Genomic DNA, 10,841 nt, shown 5'->3' on the forward strand with positions numbered 1-10,841 from the left:
TGGTTTTTTTTTTTCTGAAATGGAGTTTTGTTCTCATCGCCTAGGCTGGAGTGCAATGGTGCGATCTCGGCTCACCGCAACCTCCACCTCCCAGATTCAAGCGATTCTCCTGCCTCAGCCTCCCGAGTAGCGGGGATTACAGGCATGCACCACCACGCCTGGCTAATTTTGTATTTTTAGTAGAGACGGGGTTTCTCCATGTTTGTCAGGCTGCTCTTGAACTCCCGACCTCAGGTGATCCGCCTGCCTCGGCCTCCCAAAGTGCTGGGATTATAGGTGTGAGCCACTACGCCCAGCCCCACTGGCTTTTTTTAAGCCTGTACTTTACAAGTTTTAATGTCTGTTTTGAGTGTCCTTTAATAAGAACACAGTATTCTATCAAAGTAGATTTTGGGTCTGAGGTAATTAGAATATTGGGATGTTTTTCCCCCAGTTTCATCCTAGGGCAGGGGACTTTGTGTTGTCAAATATTAACATATATTCTAAAACATTGAAAATTTTAAGTGTAGCATTGTTCAATGGAATAAAACAGAAGCACAGGAGGAACAGATCCAACTATATGAAAAGGAGATTTTAAATTAGTGGCTAACCATTATGAATATAAGTTAGATTCCCATCTCATACATTACAAAACAATTTATTCTATGTTCATGAATAGTTTAATTCTTTTTTTGTTTCATTTTGTTTTGTTTTTTTGAGGAGTTTCGCCCTTGTCGCCCAGGCTAGCATGCAGTGGTGCAATCTCAGCTCACTGCAACCTCCTCCTCCCAGGTTCAAGTGATTCTCTTGCCTCAGCCTCCCGAGTAGCTGGGATTATAGGTGTCCGCCACCATGCCCGGCTAATTTTTGTAATTTTAGTAGAGACAGGGTTTCACCATGTTGGTCAGGCTGGTCTCGAACTCCTGACCTCAGGTGATCCACCCGCCTCGGCCTCCCAAAGTGCTGGGATTACAGGTGTGAGCCACCGCGCCCGGCCAATATTTTAATTCTAAAATTAAATTAAGGCAGGACATGGTGCCTCATGCCTGTAATCCCAGCACTTTGGGAGGCTCAGGAGGGAGGATCACTTGAGCCTAGGAGTTCGAAACCATCCTGGACAACATGGCAAGATCCCTCCTCTACACAAAAATTTAAAAATTAGCTAGATGTGGTTGCATGCACCTGTAATCCCAGCTACTTTGGAGGCTGAGGTGAGAGGATCACTTGAGCTGGGGAGGTTGAGGCTGCAGTGAGCCATGATCATGCCACTGCACTCCAAGCTTGGGTGACAGGGCAAGACCCTGTCTCAAAATAAATAAATTGATTAATTAAAATAAATTAAAATTCTAGAAGAAAACAGAGGTAAGTGTTTTCTATGTCCATCTCACCCAAGAGCAGAAATCATAAAATAAATGATTGTTGTAATTTCATCAAGTAAAACATTTAAATATTCTGTATATCAAAGAATATTATAAACAAAGTTAAAAGACCACATATATGACTAACAAAGGGTTAATACCCTGACTGTTATAAACCAATAAGAAAATAATAATTCAACAGAAAAATGGGCTAAGGACATGAGTGCCTTAGAGAAGAAATGGGATTGTGACCTTACTGCATGTTACATTCGTAAGTCCAGATTATGATCCACTTCTCTCTGCATTTCGTGTTCTTTCCTTTGACTTCATCATCTAACCTTCTGTCCTAACTGTACCTTGATAATACGTTTATTTGTTTGTTTGTTTTGAGACGGAGTTTCACTCTTGTTGCCCAGGCCACAGTGCAGTGGCACATTCTTGGCTCACTGCAACCTCTGCCTCCCAGGTCCAAGGGATTCTCCTGCCTCAGCCTCCCGAGTAGCTGGGATAACAGGCATGCACCACCACGCCTAGCTAATTTTTTTTTTTAATGTAGTAGAGATGGGGTTTCACCATGTTAGCCAGGATGGTCTCGATCTCCTGATCTTGTGATCCACCCACCTCGGCCTCCCAAAGTGCAGGGATTACAGGCGTGAGCACCGTGCCCGACCAAGATTGACCTTCTTAAACAACTTTGTCATCATGTGCTTCTCCTGCTCAGACATCCTCCTTGGCAGCCTTTCAACACGTTTCTCAAATCCTTTCCCAGCTTCCTGTGCAGCCTTTCCTCCTCAGCCTGGCTGCCTTACTGTCTCAGCTCCGATCTCTGGGCCTTTTCCCATATGGCTGCTTCCCTCTACAGTGTTCCTCCTAGCCCATACCCCAACCCACCCCACCTTTCCCTCCTCTCCAGGTTGTACCAGTTCCAGGCCCCTGCCCTTGACAATACTCCTTCCCACGAGGAGCACTTCCTCGGCTACCTCCTTAGCGTGTATTGGAATTCCCACTCACTTGGCAGTTGCACTTTGTGACACTTAATTCTGCCATTTTATTTTCCTAACTGCTATTTAGTCTCCCTGTTTATTTCGTAAGCTTCTTGCAGACACCAGTTCTATCTCACCACATTTCTTTACGTCCTCTGCTCTACTATTCACTAGAGGAGCCCCTCACCACAGATAGCTGTTGAGCACGTACAATGTGACTGGTCCTATTGAGACATGCTTTAAGCACAGAATACACACTGGACTTCAAAGACTCTGTACAAAAGAATGAATAACTTTTATATTGACTAAATGTTGAAAGGATGTAAGTTCTTTGACATATTTGGTTGCATAAAGCACATTATTAGCTTCACCTGTTTCTTTTTTGGGTTTTTTGTTTGTTTGTTTGTGTCGTTTTTGAGACAGAGCCTCATTCTGTTGCCCAGGCTGGAGTGCAGTGGCACAATTTCAGCTCACTGCAGCCTCTGCCTCCTGGGTGCAAGCAATTCTCGTGCCTCAGCCTCCCAAGTAGCTGGAATTACAGGTGTGTGCCACCATACTGGGCTAATTTTTTTGTATTTTTAGTAGTGACATGTTGGCCAAGCTGGTCTTGAACTCCTGACCTCAGGTGATCCACCCACCTCAGCCTCCCGAAGTTCTGGGATTATAGGCGTGAGCCACTAGGCCCAGCCTCCTTTTTGATTTTTTTAATGAGGCTCCTAGAAAGTTTTCAGTGATATCTGTGGCTCACATTTGTGTCTTGTTATATGTTTCTTGTTGGACAGCATCGGTCTAGAGTGCACAACATAGTGACTCAAACACAAGAAATGCTCTCAGGCTGGGTGCAGTGGCTCACACTTGTAATCTCAGCACTTTGGGAGGCCAAGCAGGCTGATCTTGAGCCTAGGAGTTTGAGACCAGCCTGGGCAACATAATGGGACCCCTGTCTCTAAAAAAAAAAATAACAAAAATTAGCCAGACATGGTGGCCTATATCTGTGGTCCCAGCTACTGAGGTGGGAGACTGAGGTGGGAGGATCACTTGAGCCCTGGAGGCAGAGGTTGCAGTGAGCCATCATTGCGCCACTGCACTCCAACCTGAGTGACAGAGCGAGACTCTGTCTAAAAAAAAAGATACTCCCCAGCCCCCCGCCCGGCCAGCCGCCCCGTCCGGGAGGTGAGGGGCGCCTCTGCCTGGCCGCCCCTACTGGGAAGTGAGGAGCCCCTCTGCCCGGCCAGCCGCCCCGTCCGGGAGGGAGGTGGGGGGTCAGCCCCCCGCCCGGCCAGCCGCCCCGTCCGGGAGGTGAGAGGCGCCTCTGCCCGGCCGCCCCTACTAGGAAGTGAGGAGCCCCTCTGCCCGGCCACCACCCCGTCTGGGAGGTGTACCCAACAGCTCATTGAGAACGGGCCAGGATGACAATCGCGGCTTTGTGGAATAGAAAGGGGGGAAAGGTGGGGAAAAGATTGAGAAATCGGATGGTTGCCGTGTCTGTGTAGAAAGAAGTAGACATGGGAGACTTTTCATTTTGTTCTGTACTAAGAAAAATTCTTCTGCCTTGGGATCCTGTTGATCTGTGACCTTACCCCCAACCCTGTGCTCTCTGAAACATGTGCTGTGTCCACTCAGGGTTAAATGGATTAAGGGCGGTGCAAGATGTGCTTTGTTAAACAGATGCTTGAAGGCAGCATGCTCGTTAAGAGTCATCACCACTCCCCAATCTCAAGTACCCAGGGACACAAACACTGTGAGAAACACCCAAGAATGATAAATAAAAAATAAATAAAAAAATAATAAAAAAATAAATAAATAAAAATGAAAAAAAAAAAAAAGATACTCCCAAATTTTTGGTTGTTAGACATGAATGAAAAAAACAGCTAGCTCATTCCGTCTGAGCAGTTTTCACTCTATCTTACCCTTTTTTCTTGCTTGGTGGGAAGCTGGGGACTGTTAATTTGTGTCCCCGGTAGGTGGGACCCAAATCCAAGAAACAGAAATTAAAGAAGAAACTGATCAGAATGTGAAATAAACGCTAGCTCCAAATGCAGCCTTCTGACTTGGTGAAATGAAAGACCTAACTTAAAGAGACAGAGAAGAGATCTGGATAACAGAAGAGACTTAGGGATCACTTAAGCAGTTAACCTCATCTAAATTGAAAACTTTTCCCATTAAATGGTAAAATAAATCTTTCTTTCAAAACTAAAATTTGAAAATTATAAATAAAAGCTGTTTTCTACTACAGAAAATCAAAGGAAGTAAGAGGATGAACATTGCAATGGGCAAAAAAATCTTAAACGAATTCTTGTGGCCAAATAGCAAATAACCAGTTCAAAAACTTTGCCTCTTACTGACACATGGGTGGAGATCTCAACAGCTGGCTTTCTTCTCCCTCTCTCTGCCTCTTGCCTTTTCTTCCTACCTCTTCTTCCCTTAGATTTCTTTCCTTTTTTCCATTCTTCGCCTTAAAAAAAAAATCTACTTCCTACCTTCATGTATCTTTCCTAATCATGATATTGAATTAAAGCACACTTAAAGTACATTGCTCATTTATGTCTTTAATTCTCATAGAATTTATTTTTGAATACAGTATGGCATTAGGATTCTAACTTTTTAAATAGATAATTAACCAGAGCACTATTTCTTAATATGCCATTGTTTTCTTCTTCATTTGTAGTGACAATAATGATTATTATTGAGAGCTTGCTATGGGCAAAGCAGTGTTTTGAGAGGTTTGCCTGTATTTAAATTCCTGGTTGTGTTTCTTGAATAAAGGTCTTCCTCATTTTGGCCAGGCACAGTAGCTCGTGCCTGTAATCCCAGCACTTTGAAAATGCCAAGGCAGAAGGATCACTTGAGGCCAGGAGCTTGAGAACAGCCTTGGCAAGGTAGCAAGACCCCGGTCTCTAAAAAAAAAAAAAAAAAAATTAGCTGGCTTTGGTGGCATGCACCTATAGTCCCAGTGACTTGAGAGGACCACTTGAGGTTGGGAGTTCAAGGCTGCAGTGAGCCACTGCACTCCAGCCTGGTCAACTGAACAAGCCTCTTGTCTCTACATTTTAAAAAGAAGAAGTTATCCTCATTATTAGGCATTTAGAAGTGAACTCATTAATTCTTTTCTTCTATTAGCATAGTAAAAAATAAAAAATAAATAGCTTTTTCACTTGGGTCCCCAATATTTTGTCTCTCTGGGAATTAAGACTCTCTCATAAAAACAAGTGCCCTGCCTTCCACTTGAAGACTGGAAGAGGAGTTAGTGAGACCAAGAAATTCCACTTTTCCATTTCTCACCAGGGATATTACTTATAGGTGTCTTTCAGGTTGCAGAAAAGATGGAAAAAAGGACATGTGCACTCTGCCCCAAAGATGTCGAATATAATGTCCTATACTTTGCACAATCAGAGAATATAGCTGCTCATGAGAATTGTTTGGTAAGTTACTTGAAAACATACTTCAAAGTACATGAGTACTTTTAGTGTAGGACACATAAGAATAGATAAACAACACTTTGGACACAAAGAATAACAAGTTGGCCATGGTTTGAGCTTTTAGGTGAAGATTGGGGAGCATTTCTTTTTTTTTTTTTTTTTTTTTTTGAGACGGAGTTTCACTCTGTCACCCAGGCTGGAGTGTGGTGGCGCAATCTTGAATCACTGCAAGCTCCGCTTCCCGGGTTCACGCCATTCTCCTGCCTCAGCCTCCCGAGTAGCTGGGACTACAGGTGCCCGCCACCATGCCAGGCTAATTTTTTTTGTATTTTTAGTAGAGATGGGGTTTCACCGTGTTAGCCAGGATGATCTCGATCTCCTGACCTCGTGATCTGCCCACCTCGGCCTCCCAAAGTGCTGGGATTACAGGTGTGAGCCACCACGCCCGGGCCTGGGGAGCATATTTTTCTGACTTTGAACTGTTTCAGATTTAAAATATAACAGACACTGATAGACCTTCTACCCAGGTATAATTTCTATCAAAGTCTACAGAATTCTGAGATTTATCCATGTTGGTAAACATAGCTCTAAGTCCTTCATTTTAAATATGATGTTCGATTTCATGACTATATTACCATTAACTGTTCTGTGAATGGGCATTTAGTTTTTCCAGTATTGTTTTCTATGACTAACAAGTCGTCATGAACATTCTTGTCTAGGTCTCCTTCTCATGTGAGAATTTCCCTAGTCTAGGCTATACAGCTAAGAGCAGAATTGTTAGGCACAGGAATGGGGTGTTTTGTACTTGACTAAATACACCAAATTGTTCTTCAAAGAGATTGTACCATTTAATACACCTAACTTACCAAACATCATAGCTTAGTCTAGCTCACCTTAAACATGTTCAGGACACTTACGTTAGCCCACAGTTGGGCACATCATCTAATGCAATGCCTGTTTTATAACAAAGTCTTGAATATCTCATAAAATTTATTGAATACTGTATAGAAAGTGAAAAACAGAATGGTTTATGGGTACTATACAGGAGGATGTGTGTAGGTTATATGAAAATGCTATGCCTTTTAGATAAGGGAACTGAGCATTCACGGATTTTGGTAGCCTTGGGGGTTCCTGGAACCAATCCCCTGCAGACACTGAGGGACGACTGCACTATGGCTTTATTACTAGCCTTGGCTTTTATTTTGGCACTTTGAATTTGTGGATCAGCTTTTCATGTTTGACCAAAATACCTTTTGGAATTTTGATTGGAATTGCATTGCATTTATAGATGAATTTGGGAAAAAAATAGACACATTCATATATTATAATATATTATAAATAATTAATATAAATAATTAGAGAGACAAAACCTGTTAATGGATGGGAAAAAGATGCATTCATATATTATATGTATTAATATATTATTAATGCAGTATGTATTAATATATTATTAATGTGTTATGTATTAATATATTATTGTGTTATGTATTAATATATTATTAATGTGTTATGTATTAATATATTAATTATATATTATATAAATATAAATAATATGCATTTTATATAATATATTACTATATTCATATATTACTATATTCATATATTCATATATAATATATTACTATATTATATATTATAATATATGAATGTGTCTTTTTTTTCCCATCCATTAACAGAGTCTGTCTCTCCAATTATTTAGGTCTTTTATAAATTTCAAAACTGTTAAATAATTTTTATCTGTAGTCATATAGAACTTGGGGTTGGGCATATTCCTGGGCAAGTTTTTTGTTTTGTTTTGTTTTGTTACTTTTTTCTAAAAGCTTTTTAAATGAACTATTATCAGTATATATAAACACTATTTATTTTTATTTATTGATCTCATCCAGCAACCTTACCAAAGTCTTATTAGTTCTAAAACTTCTCTAGATTTACCTGGATATATTGTATGTGGACAATCCTCATCTTTAAATAAGAACAATTTTATTTACTTACCTTTAATTCGGGGGACTCTTAATCTCTTTTTCTTGTGTTTTTCCAGAACATTCAATTATAGCGGTGATTACAAGCAATTAAATTTGGAAGCCCTGTCTTGCTTCTGATATTAATGGGATGCTCCAAAAATCTTATCATTAAATTTGTGTATGTTTTACATTCTTAATGATTTCATTTAATTAAAATAAGGAAGTTACCTTTATCTCTAATTTGCTAAAAATTATAGCGTATTGAATATTACTAAATGCTTGTTCTGCATCTATTGAAATGATCCGGGTTCTTTTTCTCTCTCTGGCCACAAACAGTGCTAAATGCTTTATTTTATTTCACTTTTTTATATACATAATTTGATGTTTATTTTAAATTACAAATTTATGGAAAAGTTGCATATACAGTACAAAGAACTTTTTTTGGTCAGAACCATTTTAAATTAAATGATATGCAATCTATCCTGAATACTTTAGTATGATTTTTTTTTTTTTTTGAGACAGAGTCTTGCTCTGTCGCCCCAGGCTGGAGTGCAATGGTGTGATCTTGGCTCACTGCAACCTCCACTTCCCAGGTTCAAGCGATTCTCCTGCCTCAGCCTCCCAAGTAGCTGGGATTACAGGCACATGCCACCACGCCCAGCTAATTTTTTGTATTTGTGGTAGAGATGGGGTTTCACGTGTTAGCCAAGATGGTCTTGATCTCTTGACCTCGTGATCCACCCACCTCAGCCTCCCAAAGTTCTGGGATTACAGGCATGAGTCACTGTGCCCAGCCTTTAGTATGTATTTTCTACAAATAAGGTGATATGCTTTGGCTGTGTCCCCACCCAAATCTCACCTTGAATTGTAATAATCCCCACGTGTCAAGGGTGGAGCCAGGTGGAGATAAGTGAATCATGGGAGCAGGTTTTTCCCAGGCCATTCACATGATAGTGATAGTGAATAAATCTCATGAAATCTGATGGTTTTATAAAGAGGAGTTCCCCAAAAATCTCTCTTGCCTGCTGCCATGTAAAACATGACTTTGCTCCCCCTTACCTTCTTCCGTGATTGTGAGGCCTCTCCAGCCATGTGGAATTGTGAGTCCATTAAACCTCTTTTTCTTTATAAATTACCCAGTCTTGCGTATGTCTTTATTAGCAGTGTGAGAACTGACTAATACACAAGGACATTCTCTCTCACACTATAACAATATAAACGTCAAAATCAGGAAATTTTGTTATACTACTACCGTCTATTCCTCAAACCACTGAGGTTTCACCTGTTGTACTAATAACGTGTGTGTGTGTGTGTGTGCTTTTTTTTTGAGACAAGGTCTCACTCTGTTGCCCAGGGCTAGAGTGCAGTGGCACCATCATGCCTCACTGCAACTTTGACCTCCTGGGCTCAAGTGATTCTCCCATCTCAGCCTCCAGAGTAGCTGGGACTATAGGCATGTGCCACTGTGCCCAGCTAATGTTTTGTACTTTTTGTAGAGATGGGGTTTTGCCATGTTGCCCAGGTTGGTATCCAACCCCTGGGCTCAAGCAATCCTCCCACCTCAGCCTCCCAAATGCTGGAATTACAGGTGTGAGCCACCATACCTGGCCTAATAACATTTTTTATAACAAAAGATTTTAGCTCATGGGTTGCATTTGGTTATCATGTCTTAAGTTTTTTCATTTTATTCTGTTAGTAATGTGTGTTTTACTTATATATTTTTTCTGCTGTGAAACCATTCTTAGATTAACACCATTTAATGGTGATGTTTTATTTTTACTTATTTATTTGAGACAAGGTCTCCCCAGGCTGGAATGGAGTGGCATAATCATAGCTCACTGCAGCCTTGAACTCCTGGGCTTAAGCAATTCTCCCACCTCAGCTTGGACTACAAGCACGTACCACCATACCCAGCTAATTTTTTATTTATCTTTTTGTAGAAATGGGGGTCCCACTATGTTGCTCAGGCTCATCTCGAACTCCTGGCCTCAAGTGATTCTCCTGTCTCAGCCTCCCAAAGTGTTGGGATTAGAGGCGTGAGCTACCGCTCCCAGCCCAATCGTGATGTTTTTATTCTAATATACTGTTGATGTTGATTTGCTACTATTTTTTAGTTAACTTTATTGGCATAATTTACATAAAATCAAATGTACCCATTTTAAGTGTCCAATTCAGAAAGTTTTGAGACATGTTGAGACCCATGCAACCACTACCACCATCAAGATATAAACATTTCCATTACCCCAAAGGGTTTCCTCAATGTTCTGTGCAATCAATTCCTTCCTACCCCAAGTCCCTGTAGATTTGTCTTATCTTTTCTCAGATTTCATATGAAAGGAATCCTATAGTTGTCCTCCTTTGTGTCACTTCCTTTGCTCAGCATACTGTTTTAGATGCATCTATGTTGCATGTATCTGTATCTTGTTCCTTTATCATTCTTCACAGTACTTAATTGGTATGCATGTATCACAATTTGCTTATTCATTCATCTGTTGGTAGACATGTGTTATTTCCAGTTTGGAGCTCTTATGATAAAAATCAGCTATAAGCATCTGTATATGAGTCTTTGTGTCTTTATTTAGGCCTTTCATAATTTCAAAATTGTTCAATGGCTTTTTTTTTTTTTTTTGAGACGGAGTTTCGCTTTTTTTGCCCAGGCTGGAGTGTGATGGCGCGATCTCGGCTCACTGCACCCTCCGCCTCACAGGTTCAAGCAGTTCTCCTGCCTCAGCCTCGCGAGTAGCTGGGATTACAGGCACCTGCCACCATGCCCAGCTAATTTTTTGTATTTTTAGTAGGGATGGGGTTTCACCATGTTGGCCTGACTGGTCTCGATCTCCTGACCTCAGGTGATCCACCTGCCTTGGTCTCCCAAAGTGTTGGGATTACAGGCGTGAGCCACCGCACCCGGCTATTCAGTAATTTTTATCTGTAGAGGTATAGAACTTGGGGTTAGGCATATTCTGGGCTTGTTTTTTGTTTTGTTTTGTTACTTTTTTCTAAAGTATTTTTAAATGAGCTATTATCAGTATATATGAACACTATTGATTTTTATTTATTGGTCTCATCCAGCAACCTTACCAAACTCTTATCAGTTCTAAAAAGTCTCTAGATTTACCTGGATATATTGTATGTGGACAA

The 10,841-nt window shown here is 40.7% G+C and overlaps 2 protein-coding genes across 10 annotated transcripts in view; both read left to right on the top strand.

Annotated features, from left to right (window-relative positions):
• SETDB2-PHF11 (SETDB2-PHF11 readthrough) overlaps nucleotides 1–10,841 on the top strand; it is an 84,703-nt gene that overhangs the window by 56,741 nt on the left and 17,121 nt on the right. The window contains exon 12 of one of the 2 annotated variants that reach the window (NM_001320727.2): nucleotides 5,621–5,742. The exons of the other annotated variant lie outside the window; for it this stretch is intronic. Within the exon in view, the coding sequence (NP_001307656.1) occupies nucleotides 5,621–5,742 (122 nt within the window). The remainder of the gene's footprint in view (nucleotides 1–5,620; nucleotides 5,743–10,841) is intronic. 2 annotated transcript variants of the gene reach the window in all.
• Nucleotides 1–10,841, top strand: part of PHF11 (PHD finger protein 11) — a 33,024-nt gene that overhangs the window by 5,062 nt on the left and 17,121 nt on the right. For 7 of the 8 annotated variants that reach the window (NR_135323.3, NM_001419874.1, NM_001419876.1 and 4 more), the window contains one exon: nucleotides 5,621–5,742. The exons of the other annotated variant lie outside the window; for it this stretch is intronic. Coding sequence is in view for 6 of the 7 variants with exons in the window: in NM_001040443.3 (NP_001035533.1) it covers nucleotides 5,621–5,742 (122 nt within the window). In the remaining variant the exon portion in view is untranslated. The remainder of the gene's footprint in view (nucleotides 1–5,620; nucleotides 5,743–10,841) is intronic. 8 annotated transcript variants of the gene reach the window in all.

Source organism: Homo sapiens, chromosome 13, assembly GCF_000001405.40.
Source record: "Homo sapiens chromosome 13, GRCh38.p14 Primary Assembly".
NCBI lineage: Eukaryota > Metazoa > Chordata > Mammalia > Primates > Hominidae > Homo > Homo sapiens.